The sequence below is a fragment of the Homo sapiens genome, chromosome 20 (assembly GCF_000001405.40).
Source record: "Homo sapiens chromosome 20, GRCh38.p14 Primary Assembly".
Taxonomy (NCBI): Eukaryota; Metazoa; Chordata; class Mammalia; order Primates; family Hominidae; genus Homo; species Homo sapiens.
In genome coordinates, this window is record NC_000020.11 from 40,974,224 (window position 1) to 40,993,273 (window position 19,050).

Genomic DNA, 19,050 nt, shown 5'->3' on the forward strand with positions numbered 1-19,050 from the left:
GTTTCCTCAGTGTTTTCTTTTTGTGGTTTCATAGTTTGAGGTCTTACATTTAAGTCTTTAATCAATTTGGATTTGATTTTTCTATGTGGTGAAAGATAGGAGTCTAGTATCATTCTCCTGCATGTGGATATCCACTTTTCCCAGCACCATTTATTGAAGAGAATGTCCTTTCCCCAATGTATGTTATTGGTACCTTTGCCAAAAATGAGTTCACCCTAGATATATGGATTCATTCGGGAGTTCTCTATTCTGCTCTACTAGTGCATGTGTCTGTTTTTATGCCAGTACTATGCTGTTTTGGTTCCTATAGCTATGTAATATAATTTGAAGGCAGGTAATGTGATTCTTCCAGTTTTGTTCTTTTCGCTCAGGATCGCTTTGGCTATTCTGGGTCTTTTGTGGTTCCATATAAATTTTAGGATTGTTTATTCTATTTCTGTGAAGAATGTCATTGGTGTTTTGATAGGGATTGCATTGAATCTGTAGATTCCTTTGGGTAGTAAGGACATTTTAACAATATTGATTCTTCTAATCCATGAATATGAAATATCTTTCCATTTCCTTGTGTCCTCTTCAGTTTCTTTCACCACTGTTTTATCATTTTAATTGTAGAGATCTTTCACCTCTTTGGTTAAGTTAATTCCCAGGTATTTTATTTTATTCGTGGCAATTGTAAATGGGATTAATTTCTTGAATTCTTTTTCAGGTTGTTCGCTGTTGGCAAATAGAAATGGTACTGACTTTGGTATGTTGTTTTTGTATCCTGCAGCCTTATTGAATTTGTTTATCAGTTCTAATAATTTTTTGGTGGAGTCATTGGATTTTTTCAAATATAAAGATTATATAATCTGAAAACAAAGATAATCTGAATTCTTTCTTTCCAATTTCGATGCCCTTTATTTCTTTCTCCTGTCTGATTGTTCTAGATAGGATTTCCAGTACTATGTTGAATAACAGTGATGAAAGTGGCCATCCTTGTAGTGCTTCAGATCCTAGAGGAAAAGCTTTCAGTTTTTCCCCATTCAGTATGGTACTAGCTATGGGTCTGTTGTATATGGGTTTTATTATGTTGAGGTATGTCCTTCTATACCCAGGTTTTTTGAGGGTTTTTATCATGAAGGGCTGTTGAATTTTATCAAATGCTTTTTCAGCATCAATTGAAATGATCTTATGATTTTTGTCCTTCATTCTGTGACATGATGTACCACATTGATTTATTTGCATATGTTCAACCATCTTTGCATCACTGGGATAAATCCTACTTAGTCATAAGGAATGATCTTTTTAATGTGTTGTTCAATTTTGGTTGCTAGTATTTTGTTGAGGATTTTTGCATTAAAATTCATCAGGGATATTGGCCTGTAGTTTTTGTTTTTTGTTGTTGTTGTTTGTTTGTTTGTTTTGATGTGTCTTTGTCTGGTTTTGCTATCAGGGTAATTCTGGCCACATAGAATAAGTTTGGAAGTATTCCTCCCTCCTCTATTTTTTGGAAGAGTTTGAGTAGGATTGGTATTAGTTCTTCTTTAAATGTTTTGTAGAATTTAGCAGTGAAGCCATCTGGTCCCAGGATTTTCTGTGCTGGGAGACTTTTTACTACAGCTTCTATTTCATTACTCATTACTTGTCCATTCAGGTTTTGTTTTTTGTTTTTTGTTTTTGTTTTTGTTTTGAGACAGAGTCTCGCTCTGTCACCCAGGCTGGAGTACAGTGGCATGATCTCAGCTCACTGCAAGCTCCCCCTCCCAGGTTCACGCCATTCTCCTTCCTCAGCCTCCTGAGTAGCTGGGACTACAGGTGCCCGCCACCACACCCAGCAAATTTTTTGCATTTTTAGTAGAGATGGGGTTTCACCGTGTTAGCCAGGATGGTCTCAATCTCCTGACCTCATGATCCGCCCACCTTGGCCTCCCAAAATGCTGGGATTACAGGCATGAGCCACCGTGCCTGGCCAGGTTTTGGATCCTCATGATTCAATCTTGGTAGGTTGTATGTATCTAGAAATTTATCCATTTCTTCTAGATTTTCTAACTTATTAGCATATATTTGCTCATACTAGCCATTAATTATCCTTTGAATTTCTGCAGTATCAGTTGTAGTATTTCCTTTCTCATCTCTGATTTTATTTCTTTGTCTTCTCTCTTTTATTCTTCAATTGTCTGTCTAAAGGTTTGTCAATTTTGTTTATCTTTCAAAAAAACTTTGTTTTGTTGATCTTTTGTATTGTTTTTTGTTTGTTTCAATTTCATTTATTTCTGTTCTGATTGTTAATATTTCCTTTCTTCTACTAATTTTGGGTTTGGTTTGCTTTTGCTTTTCCAGTTCTTTAAGATGTATCATTAAATTGTTTATTTGAAATTTTTCTTCTTTTTTGATGTAGGTGCTTGTAACTATAAATTTCCCTCTTGGTACTGCTTTCACTGTATCCCATAGATTTTGGTATGTTATGTTTCCATTATCATTTGTTTCAAGAAATTTTCTGATTTCCTCTTTAATTTCATCATTGACCCACTGGTTATTCACGAGAATATTGTTAATTTCCATGTGTTTGTATAGTTTCCAAAATTCCTCTTGTTATTGATTTCTAGTTTTATTCCATTGTGGTCAAAAAGATACTTGATATATTTTTCAAATTTTTTTAATGTTTTAAGATTTGTTTTGTGATCTAACATATGGTATATCATTGAGAATGATCCATGTGCTGAGGAAAAGAATGCATATTCTGCAGCTACTGGATGAAATGTTCTGTAAATATCTATTAAGTCCATTTGGTCTACTGTACAGATTAAGTTCAATGTTTCTTTGTTGATTTTTCTGTCTGGAAGATCTGTCCAGTGCTAAAAGTGGGATGTGGAAGTCTCCAGCTGTTATTGTATTGGAGTCTATCTCTCTCTTTAGGTCTAATAGTATTTGGTTTATATATCTGAGTGCTCCAATGTTGGGTGCATGTATATTTACAATTGTTATATCCTCTTACTGCATTAACTCATTTATCATTATATAGTGACCTTATTTGTCTCTTCTTATAGTTTTTGTCCTGAAGTCTATTTTGTGTGATATAAGTATAGTGACTCCTGCTCTTTTTTTGGTTTAAGAGGCATGGAATATTATTTTCCATCCCTTTATTTTCAGTCTGTGTGTGAAGTATGTTTCTTGTAGGCAACAGATCATTGGGTCTTATTTTTTTAATTCATTCAGCCACTCTGTGTCTTTTGATTAGAGAATTTAGTCCATTTATATTTAATGTTATTGATAAGTAATGGCTTACTCCTGCTATTTTGTCATTTTTGTTCTGTGGTCTTCTCTTCCTTCTTTCCTTTTTTTTCTGTCTTCATTTTAGTGAAGGTGATTTTCTCTGGTGATATGATTTAATTTCTTGCTTTTTATTTTTTGTGTATGCATTGTATGCTTTTGATTTGAGGTTACCATGAGGCTTGCAAATACTATCTTATCACCCATCATTTTAAGCTGATAGCAATTTCATAGTGCTTGCATAAACTAATAAGCAAAAAGAAAACTAATAAAGACTCTACACTTTAATTTCATCCCCCTGCTTTTAACTTTTTGTTTCGATTTATGTCTTACTGTACTGCCTATGTCTTGAAAAGCTTTTGTAGTCATCATTTTTACTGGTTCATCTCTTAGTCTTTCTACTTAAGAGCAGTATAACACACTACAGTTACAGTGTTATAACATTCTGTTTTTCTGTGTACTTACTATTACCAGTGAGTCTTGTACCTTCAGATGATTTCTTATTGCTCATTACTGTCCTTTACTTTCTGACTGAAGTATTGCCTTTAGCATTTCTTGTAGAACAGGCCTGGTGTTGATGAAATTCCTCAGCTTTTGTTTGTCTGGGAAAATATTTCTCTTTCATGTTTGAAGGATATTTTCATCTGATATAGTATTCTAGGGTAAAAGGCTTATTTTTCTTCAGCACTTTAAATATGTCATGGCATGCTCTCCAGTCCTGTAAGGTTTCTACTGAAAAGTCTGTGGCCAGACATATTGGAACTCCATTGTATGTTATTTGTTTCCTTTCTCTTGCTGCTTTTAGGGTCCTTTATTTATCCTTGACCTTTGGGAGTATGATTATTAAGTGGCTTGAGGTAGTCTTTGGGTTAAATCTGCTTGGTATTCTATAACCTTATCATACTTAGATATTGGTATCTTTTTCTAGGTTTGGGAAGTTATCTGTTATTATCCTTTTGAATAAACTTTCTACACCTATCTCTTATCTACCTCCTCTTTAAGCTCCGTAACTCTTAGAGTTGCCCTTTTGAGGCTATTTTCTAGATCTTGTAGATATGCCTTATTCTTTTTTATTCTTTTTTCTTTTGTCTCCTCTGACTGTGCATTTTCAAATAGCCTGTCTTCAAGCTCACTAATTCTTTCTCTGCTTGATCGATTCAGGTATTAAGAGACTCTGGTACATTCTTCAGCATGTCAATTGTATTTTTCAACTCTAGACTTTCTGCCTGATTCTTTTTAATTATTTCAATCTGTTTGTTAAATTTGTCTGATAGAATTATGAATTCCTTCTCTGGTTTTTCTTACATTTCTTTGAGTTTCCTCAAAATAGCTATTTTGAATTATCTATCTGAAAGATCACATATCTCTGTCTCTCCAGGATTGGTCCCCACGGGCTTATTTAGTTTGTTTGGTGATGCCATGTTTTCCCGGATGGTCTTGATGCTTGTGGATGTTTGTCAGTGACTGTGCATTTAACAGTTAGGTATCTGTTGTACTCTTCACAGTCTGGGTTTGTTTGTACTTGCCTTTCTTGTGGACAGGTACAAACAAGCCCAGACTGTGAAGGACAAGTATTGTGGAAGGACAAGGCTTTCCACGTATTCAAAGGGACTTGGGTGTTGTGATCTAAGTGTTTGGTCACTGCAAATGCATCTGCATTAAGGGACACCCCAAGCCCAGTAATGCTGTGGTTCTTGCAGAGTTGCAGAGGTACCACTTTGGTAGCCTTGGATAAGATCCAGAAGAATTCTCTGGATTACTAGAGATTCTTGTTCTCTTCCCTTACTTTCTTCCAAACAAATGGAGACTTTCTCTCTCTCTCTCTCTCTCTGTGCTGTGCTGCCTAGAGCTGGGGGAGAAGTGACACAAGCACACCTGTGGTCACCATCACTGGGACTGCGCTGGGTCAGACCTGAAGCCAGTGCAGCATTAGGTCTTGCCCAAGGCCTGCTGTAACTGCCACCTGGCTACTGCCTATGTTTGCTCAAGGCCCTAGGGTTCTACAATCAGGAGGTGGCAAAGCCAGCCAGGCTTATGTCCGTCCCTTCAAGGCACCCAGTTCCCCCAGGCCCCAAGCAGGTGCAGAGATACTGTCTGGGAGCCAGAGACTGGAGTCAAAAAGCTTAGAAATCTACCTGCTGTTCTATTCTACTGCAGCTGAGCTGGCACTCAAACCACGAGACATAATCCTTCCCACACTTCCCTCCCACTTCCATAAGCAGAGGGGCCTCAACCTGTGGCCATCACCACGACAGGCCCATAGGACTACTGCCAGTCTACCACCAACGTTCACTGAAGACCCAAGGGCTCTTCAGTCGGCTTGTAGTGAATGTTGCCAGGCCTGGGACTCATCCTTCAGGGCAGTGGGTTTCCTTCCCACCCAGAGCAGGTCCAGAAATGGCATCTAAAAGGCAAGGCCTGAAACCAGGGACCCCAAGAACCCTCTTTATGGTCTAGTCTACTGTGGCTGAGCTAGTATCTAAGGTATAAGACAAAGTCCCCTTTACTTTTTCCTCTGCTTTACTCAAGCAAGTGTTCTCACTATGGTTCTCACCATAGCCACCACAGCTGGAAATGTGCTGGGTCTCACCTGAAGCCAACATGTCTCAGAGTCTCAACCAAGGCCTATGGTAGATACCAGGGTATCGCTGCTGGTTCTTCAAGGTCCCAGGACTCTTTAATCAGCAGGTAATGAATCCTGCCAGGACTGAGTCCTTCCCTTCAAAGCAGTAGGCTCCCTCCTAGCCTAGGGTGTGTCTAGAAATATCATCCAGGAGCTAGGCCCTGGAATGGGGACCTTATGACCCTAACTGGTACCCTATCCTACTGTGGCTGAGCTGGCATCCAAGATGCAAGACAAAGTCCTCTTTACTCTTCCCTCTCCTCTCCTCAAGTGGAAGGAGCTTGCACAGCTGCAAGCTGTGCTACCTGGAGTTGGGGGGAGGGTGGTGCAAGTACTCCCTTAGCTGCCTCAGCTAGTGTCTCAGTAGGTCATGTGCCCCCACCATGTCCACTGACTCTGAGCCCAGCTCAGCACTAGGACTTGCCTAGGAACTGCAGTCCTTGTGACCTTGACTGCCATTCAAGTTTATTTACAACCCAGAGCATTTTACCCCCATGGTGGTAAGGCTTGCTGAAACTCAAGTTCCATCCACTGGGTTGGGCAATTCCCTTGGGCAATTACCCTCTGGCTAGGGCTGGTCTAAATACTCTCTCCATCATCAGCTGTCAGCTGAGTTCAGTTCGGTTTTGCTTTCACTGTGACAAAGCAGCATCAAATTCAATGCAATGTCTCACAATAGCTGCGCTCTCCCTCTTCCAAGCACAGAGATTCTCTCTCTACGCCACAAAGCCACTGCCATGGGATGGGGACAGGTGGCATCAGCAACTCAAGACTGTCTTCCCTACCCTCTTCATTGCCTCTTTCAACAGTATGAAGTTAAAATCAGGTACTGTGAGTGCTCATCCAATTGTTGGTTCTTATGATGAAGGTGCTTTTTTGTGTGTAGATAGTTGTTAAATTTTATGTTCCTGTGGGGGATGGGGAGATGGAGCCTTCTATTCAGCCATCTTGCTCCACCTCCTACAACGGCAGTCCCCAACCCCCTGGCCATGGACTGGTACTGGTCTGTGGCCTGTTAGGAACCACGCTGCACAGCAGGAGGTGAGCAGCAGACAAGCAAGTGAAGCTTCATCTGTATTTACAGCCACTACCCATTTCTCATTACCGCCTGAGCTGCACCTCCCATCATATCAGTGGCAGCATTAGATTCTTATGGGAGTGCGAACCTTATTGTGAACCGTGCATGCAAGGGATATAGTTGCGGGCTCCTTGTGAGAATCTAATGCCTGATGATCTATCACTGTCTCCCATCATCCCCAGATGGGACCATCTAGTTGCGGGAAAACAAGCTAGGGCTCCCACTGATTCTACATTATGAAGAATTGTATAATTATTTCATTATCTATTACAATGTAATAATAATAGAAATAAAGTGTATAATAAGTGCAATGTGCTTGAATCATCCCAAAACCATCCCTTACCCCAATCTGTGGAAAACTGTCTTCCACAAAACCGGTCCTTGATGCCAAAAAGCTTGGGGACCACTGCCCTACAAGACCACTTTTAAAATAGGAATAATGGGAAGACCATATTCAAAAAAAAAAAAACTTTTTAAACTGTTTCCAGTAATTATTTTGTTGATGCTATTACTGCTGTCATTTTGAGACCATTGCGTGTGTAATGTGGGATAAGGAAAATAAGCAATTACAGACTGTTTTAATTCTATCATCTCCTGTATTATTGAGGATCTGATTCTCAATATGGAAGAAAGGAGAGATGTAATATAGAAAAGATTAAGTGAAAAACCTAAGTGTGAATTGGAATTATTAGTATGAACACAGGGTGCTATCCTCCTGGTTTCTGGCTGAAAGGTGTGTGTGTGATAAAATATATTTCCTAATGACCAAATCAGTAGCCATCTGCATCCCTAGCATCCAGACAGTGGTCATGAAACCCTATTTTCCATTTAAAAATAAAACGGGGCCCGGCACAGTGGCTCACGCCTGTAATCCCAACACTTTAGGAGGCCAAGGTGGGTGGATTGCTTGAGCCCAGGAGTTCAAGACCAGCCTGGGCAACATGGAGAAACCCCTTCTCTACAGAAAATACAAAAATTAGCTGGGCATATTGGTGCATGCCTGTAGTCCCAGCTACTCAGGAGGCTGAGGTGGGAAGATCAACTGAGCCCAGGAGGTCAAGGCTGCAGTGAGCCGTAATGGCACCACTGCACTCCAGCTTGGGTGACAGAGTGAGACCTCATCTCAAAAAATATATAAAAATAAAAGGACTTGTAGTCAGTTAATATTTATTCAGTATTTCAATCTTGTAAATATAAATATTTACAAGTAGGTTTCACTGTCCTCTCCTGATGGATGACAAAGGGAAAACACAGAGAAGAAAGCAGTTTTCTCAGGGCCACACAGCTGCTAAACTGCCCAGCTGGGCTTGAAACCCAAGTGAGGTTCATCTGTTCATTCAACAAATAGTTGCTGACACCTGCTGAGTTTACTGCTAGGGAAACAGCTAAGTTAAAACAGCCTGACTTCCCATCCACCTGCCCTTCCTGTGAGAAAGGGGAAGATGGACATGCAAGGGACACTTGCTGGTCTTGGTACCCACTTGGGCACAGCCCCAGCACCTGTCCCCTGTGCAAAGCCGATGTGCTGCTCTCAGAAGTGGTAGCTAAGCCCACGCCCTTTCACCCCCAGCTCTGAAGATGACAATGCATTCAAATTCACCAGATCACCCCCAGCTCTGAAGATGACAATGCATTCAAATTCACCAGATCACCCCCAGCTCTGAAGATGACAATGCATTCAAATTCACCAGATCACCCCCAGCTCTGAAGATGACAATGCATTCAAATTCACCAGATCATCTAATGAAGTTTCACTTCTGTTTCTTAGCACCTCCCTGACTCTTCTGTTCCCTAGAGTGGAAGGAGGGTCTGGGAAAGGACCTTTGCCTGAAACTAAGAAGTCAACATGATACCCCTCAATATCCCACCTGGGAAGGGAGCTGCCAATGAGCCGAAGCAGATGGGGAGGAGATGAAACTGGGCTATCAGCTTTGCAGGCTGGAGCCCCCTCCTGTATCTGCCTTATCTTCTGGTATCCCCAGCACTTGGCCCTTGGCCTTGTAGAAAGCAGGAATGTGATACATGTTTGGTGAATGAATGAGTGAATTAATTAATTAATTTAATATATTAATTTGTATCTATTTCAAATAGAGTCTGAAGCTCAATTAATACTTTAAAAATACAGCTGGGCATGGTGGCTCACACCTGTAATCCCAGCACTTTGGGAGGCCAAGGCGGGAGCATCGTCCAAGAGTTTAAGGCTAGCTTGGGCAACATGGTGAAACCCCATCTCTACCAAAAATTTAAAAAAAAAAGAATTAGCTAGGCATGGTGGTATGCGCCTGTAGTCCCAGCTACTCAGGAGACTGAGGTGGGGGAATCACTTGATCCTGGGAGGGTGAGACTGCAGTGAGCTGAGATCACGGCACTGCCCTCCAGCCTGGGTGACAAGGTGTGGCCCTGTCTCAAAAATAAATAAAAATAAAAATACTATATAATCATTCATTCTAAAACAGAAGTTATAATCATGCCTATCCCTAGGGCCATTGGGAAGATTAAATCCATGAATAAATGTAAAACACTTAGACCAGCGCCTGGCACATACCAATCCCGCAATAAGCTATTCATGTAAACTGAGAGTAGGTTGTCCCACTCCATGTGGGATTAGGGGTCAGTGTAGGACCAGGGTCAGAGATCAAGGGGAGAATCACGCAAAAATTTAGTATGAAGTTAGGATTAGAGGACCAGTTTGTGTCCACCCAGCAGTCAGATTTTTTAGTTACCATCTATTTGTTTATTTATGTCCCACATTGTTCCAGGAGGAGTCAAGGCAGCTTTCAGGAATTCTAACTACAGAAATCAAGAAAGAGAAAGATCAAAGTTACTATGGACTGAATGTTTGTGTCCTCCCCAAAATTAATATGTTGAAGCCTAATCCCTAATGGGATGGTATTAAGAGGTGAGACCTTTGAGAGGTGATTACGTCATGAAGGTGGGGCTCTCATGAATGGGATTAGTTCCCTTTTAAGAAGAAACATAAAAGGAAAAAAAGAAAGAAAGAAAAAAAGAAAAAATAATAAAAAGAGAAGAAACGTAAGAGAGACCTCTCTCTCTCTCTTTCAATCAATCAATAGCTAGATCTCCCCCTCTCTACCATGTGAGGATACAACAAGAACACAGCCCTCTGCAAAGCAAGAAGAGTGTCCCCACCAGATACTGAATCTTCCAGCACCTTGAACTTGGACATCTCAGCCTCCAAAACCATGATAAATAAAATTCTGTTATTTCAGCCACCGAGTATGTGGTATTCTGTTATAGCAGCCTGAACTAAGACGAAATGGAGGTGTTACTCCCCAAGGGTACTCATGCTGGCACCCTGAGGCCTTCTCAGCACAGAGCTGCAAATGGGCAACCAAATCTCAGGCCTTGCTGGTCATTCTGAAGGTCACACTGACAGCCTATGGTCAAGCAGAGCCAGCTGCACGAAGTCCTGGTAAGAATTCCATGAGATCCCCCATGCAAAGTGTTGGCACAGAGTAAGTTCTCAACACATGTTGCTATTGCTATCAGTGCACAGGCTGAGGTGAATGCGCAGCGAGCAGCAGGGACCAGCATTTTATCACTGGCCAGAGCAGTGCATTCTCTCCCCATGAGCAGCCCTGGATTCAGAGCCAGAAAAAGTGGATGTTCAATGGCATCAGATTGGGGGAGCCAAATAAATTCCACGGGGCCACCCTGACCAGCAGCTGTAGAGATACTGGAAGTCTGTTGGCTACAACCCTCTCTCCTCGGAATGTGCCTGGACAGGCTCTGGCAGCTCTGGGCTCTGAATGACCAAACCCCAGCCCACCAGACATGACTTTTCCCTATATAGCTGGATATATTTGGCTAGATGAGGACAAGTCCACAAGGCATATTTCAAATGTGGAGTGTGTGTGTGTGTGTGTGTGTGTATGTGTTGGGGGGTTGTATTCAGTTCCCATTGCTGCTGTAACAACTTAACCACTTAAACAATACATAGTATTTTACAGTCCTGCAAGTCAGAACAGGGCGAAAAATCAAGGTTTCCACAGAGCCGCATTCTTCCTGGAGGCTCTAGGGTAAAATGTGTTCCTTGCCTCTTCCAGCTTCTAAAGGCCGCCCACATTCCATAGACTTGTGGCCCTTATCCATCTTCAAGCCAGCCATTGAATCACTCTAACCTTTGATTCTACTTTTTGTTGTTGTTGTTGTTGTTGTTGAGACAGGATCTCACTCTGTCACCCAGGCTGGAGTGCAGTGGCGCAATCACGGCTCACTGAAGTCTTGGCTTCCCGGGCCCGTGTGATCCTCCCACCTCAGCCTCCCAAGTAGCTGGACTTCAGGCATGCACCACCACACCCAGCTAACTTTTTGTATTTTTTGTACAGACAGGATCTCTCTGTTTTGCCCAGGCTGGTCTCAAACTCCTGGACTGAAGCAACCCACCTGCCTCAGCCTCCAAAGTGCTGAGATTACTGGCATGAGCTACCATGCCGAGCCTTGACCTCTGACTCTATCATCACGTCTCTTTCTCTGACTTTCATCCTGCCTTCCTCTTATAAGGACCTTGTGATTACACTGGGCCCAGCCAGATAATCCAGGATCATCTTCCCGTCTCAAGATCATTAGCTTAATCATGTCTGCAAAGTCCCTTGGGCCATGTTAAGGTTAAAGTGTTTGCAGGTTCCGGGAGTTTTGATGCAAAATATCTTTGGGGGCCAAGCTTCTGCCTGCCCCAGGGGCCTAGTGTTATAAACTCTTAAGATGCTGTGAATCTCCTGCCCTCTGCTCTCCCAAGAGAGGGACTCTGGAGCCAAAAAAACATTTCTAAGTCCAGAAAGAATTTTGGCAAAATGTCCCATCAGAAGATAAAGGAAAGGGGTGAATTATCTCTTTGGGTCTTTCCAGACTGAGCAAGATATTATTCACCTGTGTTGCCCATCCGGGGTCCAGGGTAAAAGACAGCAGCCAGTATCCAGCTTCACCTGCTGGGAGTAACCCAGGCCACGAAAGACTTCTTACCTCCTTGCTCACTTGTGATTCAAAAGGCCATTTCTTTACCTCCTGAGATGGCCCAAAGAAGCAATGGCCCAGGGACCATTTTGGGGAGCTGCCTTCTAGATCTGCAGAAAGTATAAAATGGTTCCAAGCAAAGAAACACTGGACTTCCCGGGGTTCCAGATCCACCTTCCACATCAGAGCCCCAATTCCCACTTTAACTGACTTGCTGGCACTGTGTCTCTCTGTGTGCCCCAGAAGAAATTTCTTCCAAATCTTAATAATAGGAATAGGCATTTTCTCTGGGGGGAAACTGTTCTGCTTTTTACCTGACAAGCTTTATGAATCATGTGATGGATTACATTTCCCTTTTCACAATGGCTGCTAGGAAGCTCAGAGTCAGATTTGTGGCCCATGGTTTCCAACTACCTAGGAGTCTATAAACTGCATTGCTTGCACTAACCTCTCCCTTGATTGCTCTTAGCTTTCTTCTCCCATTTCCCCTTTGTCCCTGTTTCTTCATCCCCCTATTTTTTACTTTTTACTCTTGAAATTGTTAGTCCTTGAGATGAAATAGAAATGAGGGTGACAAGATTGCCTTTGAGAGTTAAATGCAGTTAAATGTTGTTAAATGCTGGGATCAGCCAAGCCTGTCCAGAGCAAAGAAGTGAAAAGTCTCCAGGTGGAGACAGAACAGCTTTCAGGTACCAATGTTTGATTGTAACCTGGGTTTGATGTGGTCCCTAGCAGGGTCTCCATTCCCCAGTCTGTCTTCCTCTACACACTCCTGCCTAGTGATTAATAGACCAGGTTCTGATCTTGGTATTTGACCACTTCCTCCTTCAGACTATGAAGGTTGACCACTTCCAAGGTATGTGTTTCCTGTAAGCAGAGACAAAAATCAGCCTGTCATTTAAATAAGAGAAAATGTATGACTTTTAGCTAAAATAATTGTTTTGGCCAGGTGCGGTGGCTCACACCTGTAATCCCAGCACTTCAGGAGGCTGAGGCAGGTGGATTACAAGGTCAAGAGTTCGAAACCAGCCTGGCCAACATGGTGAAACCCCGTCTCTACTAAAAATACAAAAATTAGCCAGGCATGGTGGCAGGCGCCTGTAATCCCAGCTACTTGTGAGGCTGAGGCAGGAGAATTGCTTGAAATCGGAAGGTGGAGGTTGCAGTGAGCCGAGATCAGACCACTGCACTCCAGCCTCGGCAACAAGGGTGAAACTCTGTCTCAGAAAAAAAAAGAATTGTTTTACAAGTATGATACTTGATTGGTTGCCAGTTGTGGAGGCTTCTGCACACTGGCAGCTGGAGAGTCTCCTGGTCATTTCTGCCTCATCCATCCTGCATGGTCTCCATGCCTCGGAGCCCAGACACAGTGCCAACAAGTCAGGTAAAGTGGGAATTGGGACTCTGATGTGGAAGGTGGATCTGGAACCCCGGGAACTCCAGTGTTTCTTTGCTTGGAACCATTTTATACTTTCTGCAGATCTAGAAGGCAGCTCCCCAAAATGGTCCCTGGGCCATTGCTTCTTTGGGCCAAATAAACAAACACTGTGCTCAGCAAGATCAAGACAAAATTCAGCAACTAGTTTCCTAAAGCTGTGTCTTATAACTCTCTTCAATTAATACTCTGTGTGTGTGTGTGTGTGTGTGTGTGTGTGTGAATATAATATAAATGTATGTGTAGGTATATACACACTTCTAGGCACAGAAATGCCTACCTATGTTCACCAATGGACATATGCTACAAGAGTAGTACACTAGTATACTCTTGTATATTACTCATGTATATATATATATATATATATATATATACACATAGATATAAAACAAATAATGCTAAATCCCAATTTAGCAAAAAAATTACTTCCTATTGAATCTTCCAAGCTTAAGTGCAACAAAATGTCTGATCAGATAAGAGTTTTTGGCTGGGCACAGTGGCTCATGCCTGAAATCTCAGCACTTGGGAAGGCTAAGGTGGGTGGATCGCTTGAGGTCAGGAGTTCAAGACCAGCCTGGCCAACATAGTGAAACCCCATCTCTACTAAAAATACAAAAATCAGCCAGGCGTGGTGGCATATGCCTGTAATCCCAGCTACTCGGGAGGCTGAGGATGGAGAATCACTTGAGCCCATGAGGCAGAGGCTGCAGTGAGCTGAGACTGCCATTGAGCTCCAGCCTAGGCGACAGAGTGAGACCCTGTCTCCAACAAAAAAAAAAAAAAAAAAAAAGAGTTACTAAGAATAAGCAGTTAAGTGATAGAAGGAGTCCCTTATGAGTTTATGAATTTGAGAGATTTACAAATTTTTGCTTAAATGACTAAAATCTTTTATTTGGGTTTTAGAAATGTTGAGCTGGATCCCTTTTCAGTGTCAATTATAAGATAGCAGGGCCAGTTCCATTAAAATCCCTTCCATTTATTAATAATAAAATCAATACATCTGCACATAAGCTCATCTGCATTGCAGGCCCATCCAAGAGTGATATCATCAGTACACATCATCCAGAAAGTCTACAGTAGAAAAGACAAAAAGTCTAGAATGAATACTGTAATGGTATGGAACAACTGGAATTGGCATACCCTGAGTGGGGCATGTAAATCGGTATAACTACTTCGGAAAACTATTTATTAGCAACTAATGAAGCTAAATCAATACAAAACCCATAACCCAGCAATTCCACTTCTAGGTACAGAGATGCCTAAGCTCTGTTCACCAAATGACATATGCTACAAAATCCATGGCAGCACTACTTACAATAACCTTCAAATGGAAGTACCCAAATGCTCATTGACAATAGAATAGATAACTAAGTTGCAGTATAAATTCACACAGTAAAATACAGCTATCCCTCAATATCCATGGGGGATTGATTCCGGGACTCCCACAGATACAAAAATTCAGGAATTCTCAAGTTTTTTACATAAAATGGTGTTGTATTTGAATATAACCTATGCACATCCTCCCATAAACTTTAAATCATCTCTAGATTGCTTATAATACCTAATACAATGTAAATGCTATGTAAATAGTTGTTATACTGTGTTTTAAGAAAATAATGGGCCGGGTGCAGTGGCTCATGCCGGGTGCAGTGGCTCATGCCAGCACTTTCGGAGGCCGAGGCGGACGGATCACGAGGTCAGGAGATCGAGACCATCCTGGCTAACACAGTGAAACCCTGTCTCTACTAAAAATAGAAAAAATTAGCTGGGCGTGGTGGCGGGCTCCTGTAATCCCAGCTACTCGGGAGGCTGAGGCAGGAGAATGGCGAACCCGGGAGGCAGAGCTTGCAGTGAGCCGAGATGCACCACTGCACTCCAGCCTGGGTGACAGAACAGGACTCTGTCTCAAAAAAAAAAAAAAAAAAAGAAGAAAGAAAGAAAGAAAAGAAAAGAATGACAAGGGCTGGGGGTGGTGGATTATGCCTGTAATCCCAGCAACTTTGGGAGGCCAAGGCAGGCAGGTCACCTGAGGTCAGGAGTTCAAGACCAGCCTGGCCAACATGGTGAAACCCTGTCTATACTAAAAATACAAAAATTAGCCAGGCATGGTGGCAGATGCCTGTAATCCCAGCTCACTGGGAGGCTGAGGCAGAAGAATCACCCAAACCTGGGAGGTGGATGTTGCAGTGACCCAAGATTGCACTACTGCACTCTAGCCTGGGTGAAAGAGTAAGACTCCGTCTCAAAAAAAAAAAAAAGAATGACAAGAAAAAAGTCTACATGTTCAGTATAGATGCAACTTTTTTAAAAATGTTTTTAATCTGTGGCTGGTTGAATCCATGGATGCAGAATCCATGGATACGGGGGGCTGACTGTGCACACCAAGTATAACCAATCAACAAGGACGCATATCAATGTGGATGAATTTCACCAACATGACATTGGGCAGAAGAAGCCAGACACCGAAAAGAATATACACAGCGTGGCCAACATGATGGAAACCCTGTCTCCACTAAAAATACAAAAAATTAGCTGGGCGTGGTGGCGCACACATGTAGTCCCAGCTACTCAGGCACGAGAATCACTTGAACCTGGGAGGCAGAGGTTGCAGTGAGCCAAGATCATACCACTGCACTCCAGCCTAGGTGACAGAATGAGACCCTGTCTCAAAAAAAAGAAAAGAATATACAGTATGATTTCAAATATATAGAAGTTGTTACCCTTGGGGAGGTAGCGAGTAGAAGGAAGTATGAAGATGAAGGTGTCTGGGATTGCCAGCAATGAGCATTGGTTGCATGGATATGTTTAGAATGGAAAATTCTGAATATATGTGAACCTTCCAAAAAAAAGTTTTTAAAGTTGTATCAGTTCATTACAGTACAAATGTAAAATTAGGGGAATTGTTTAGGAGTACCCCTCTTAGACCCCTAATTAGGAGTTGGAGGTCTCAGTCTGTGACCAGGATTAGAGTTCGTTCTATGGCTGGAATCTGGGCTCAGCCAGGATAAGGTTCTGTGTGGATCCAGTACTAATCATCGCTGCATCAGGGCTCTGCCTGGCAGGAGGGCTCGGGAGCCTTTGCTCTGTGTCCACAGCTCGACTGCTGCCGTTCCAGGATCTGACCACTTGATGTCTCCACTTCACAAATTGCCAAGTGAGGAAAGAGCTGGATAGAGCTGCCTAGACACGTACCGGCCCTGAGCTGGGATAGGTTGGAGGCCATAGCTCAGGGAAAGACTTGGAAACTGCAGAGAATGAATCCAAGTGGCAGCAAAGCTGGCTGGGCTGGGGCTGGGGTCCAGGCCCCATGCAACAAGGGCAGCCATGGGGACCACAGAGGCAAGTCCAGCTCAGAAGCCCCCAGCTTTGCGCCTATCTCAGCAGCACTGGTCGGTCATTCATTCAGTGCTTCATGAGCTCCCGCTCTGAGGAGGAATCAATGGAATCAATGGAAGGAATCACTGAGGAATCAATGGAAGGCAAATAGGGCACAGTCCCTGGCTTAATGGAGCTCACAGTCAGGCATACACCTCCTTTCTCCTTTCCATCTTGTCCCTGCCTAGCACGCCCAGCTCCCTCCAACCCAAAAGAACCTCCAATATTAGAATCTGCCCCCCACCAACTCCTCAACCAGGATCCCATTTTTCTTCTTTGTTGTCTGTCTCCCCGACTAGGGCAGATGTCTAAGGAGCAGGGCTTTCATCTGCCTTGTAGACCCTGGTGATCTCAGGGTCAGGCCCAGATGACCAACAAATATTCATTGAATGAAACTTGGATAGCAGTGAGGTGTTCACATCATCTCTACAGAAACAAACAGAACAGAGCAGGGAAACTTCCTCTGGGTCTGTGGCACCCAGCTCCCCAGACCTTGCAATTCTGGAGGAAGCCTCAGACAAGGCTTTTTGTGGGGTGGGTGTGGGAACCTGAGTAGGACTGAGAGCTGGAGGTTTCAGGGCTGGGAGGGCTGCATGACAGAAGGTGCTATTAGCCCAGCTCATGAACACTGAGCAGTTCCACTTCCCCCTTTTCAAAGTAAGCATGGTGGGGGAGGGAAGAGACAGGCCTTGTATCACCCCTTGATAGGCCCAGGGACCTAGCTATTAAAAACAGGAAATATGAGCCAGCAGAGAGTAAGGAGGAACTAACTGGGGGTGCCCTGTCTGCCTCCAACTACAGGGAGCCTGCCAGCTACCTTAATTCAGTCTAGGCAGATGACAGAGAACGAATAGACCAGCTTGACTGAAGCCTCCTGAGAGCCTGGGAAGGAGACCCAGGACATGAGTCTGGGCATGACTTTGGAGGAGCAGGTTGTAAGAAAGGGGATAAAGAGCTAGAGCTGCAGGCAGCTACTCCCTAGAGGAAGGAGGAAGGAGCAGAAGCCTGAGACACAGACTTGGATGGCCGTGTGGATGTGAGCAGCTGTCCAGGACCTTCAGAGGACCAGTTTGAGCCCATTTATTGGGAACCAAAAATGAGGATATCAGGATGGACCTCCAGCACCAGGGTTTACACTCTGCCACCCACTATGCACGGCCAATCAACATTCCCAGCACTGTCCAATAGAACAGTGCAATGCTGAAAATTTCTATAGCTAGGTTTTCCAATTTGGTAGTCATCGGACTCATGTAGCTAGTGGCTACCATATTGGACATCAGAGCTCTAGCCCCATGTGTAAGGTGAACAAAGAGCTGCCTTCCAATATTTCTTTTATTCCCTCCCACTCCTTCCATTCTTTCACACCCTCCTCTTGTGCCTCAGGCTATCAGTCAATAATTATATTGTAACGAGTTGAATTTCATAGGCCATAAGCTCATGTAAAATGAATATATAAAGTAACTTATTTTTGTATAACTGAATTTCATTTCTATCCCAAGTGCCCATCCAACCTAATGGCAGAGATTTACTGTAAATAAGTTCAGGTTAAATGTGGTCAAGTGACTGCTTCCTCCCTCTCTTCCTCCAGAGTGCATCTAAGTCTCTAGACAGGTCAGAGTGTGTAGCCAGCACTCAAGCATTGGGAAGAGGGGCATTTGGAGCCTTAGGGCCCACTGTCTATGCTAGGATTAAACTATCAGTCCTTGTCCTATTCATTTAATCTTCAAACTTCATTTCTGGGTTCTTCGATTCTTCCCTTTCCTGCAGGGGCAGTAGGAAGAGCTCCAGAATCCCTTCTTAAAAACTTATAGCAGCATCTAACTCTACTGTTCCACCTGTCCACATATTCCCATACTTTCTATCCCTTTGCTAATAAAAATAAAAGCAGCTAACATTTATTGAACATTTTCCATGTACCAGGAAAATTCTAAGCACTTTATTTATTTATTTATTTATTTATTTATTTATTTATTTACTGAGATGGAGTCTCACTCTGTTGCACAGGCTGGAGAGCAGTGGCACCATCTCAGCTCACTGCAACCTCCACCTCCTGGCTTCAAGTGATTCTCCTGCCTCAGCCTTCCAAGTAGCTGGGATTATAGGCACCCACCACTATGCCTGGCTAATTTTTCTTTTCTTTTTTTTTTCTTTTTTTTTTGGAGACAGGGTCTCCCTCTGTCGCCCAGGCTGGAGTGCGGTGGTGTGATCTTGGCTCACTGCAACCTCCGCCTTCTGGGTTCAAGCAATTCTCCTGCCTCAGCCTCCCAAGTAGCTAGGACTACAGGTGCCCGCCACCATGTCCAGCTAATTTTTTGT

At 43.0% G+C, this 19,050-nt stretch overlaps 1 long non-coding RNA gene across 2 annotated transcripts in view, besides 3 other annotated features; it reads left to right on the forward strand.

The window, feature by feature from the left end:
* The first annotated feature begins 6,489 nt into the window (after positions 1-6,489).
* Positions 6,490-19,050, forward strand: part of LOC100128988 (uncharacterized) — a 44,684-nt gene continuing 32,123 nt past the window's right edge. For both annotated transcript variants that reach the window (NR_145524.1, NR_145525.1), the window contains exon 1: positions 6,490-6,698. This is a non-coding gene — a long non-coding RNA (uncharacterized LOC100128988). The remainder of the gene's footprint in view (positions 6,699-19,050) is intronic.
* Positions 16,542-16,631: an enhancer, noted in NCBI's record as "active region_17881". NCBI's record gives its function as "activates an Ori minimal core promoter by ATAC-STARR-seq in GM12878 lymphoblastoid cells {active_cell/tissue: GM12878}" and the evidence as "EXISTENCE:reporter gene assay evidence [ECO:0000049][PMID:35858748]".
* Positions 16,692-16,851: an enhancer, noted in NCBI's record as "active region_17882". NCBI's record gives its function as "activates an Ori minimal core promoter by ATAC-STARR-seq in GM12878 lymphoblastoid cells {active_cell/tissue: GM12878}" and the evidence as "EXISTENCE:reporter gene assay evidence [ECO:0000049][PMID:35858748]".
* Positions 16,872-16,921: an enhancer, noted in NCBI's record as "active region_17883". NCBI's record gives its function as "activates an Ori minimal core promoter by ATAC-STARR-seq in GM12878 lymphoblastoid cells {active_cell/tissue: GM12878}" and the evidence as "EXISTENCE:reporter gene assay evidence [ECO:0000049][PMID:35858748]".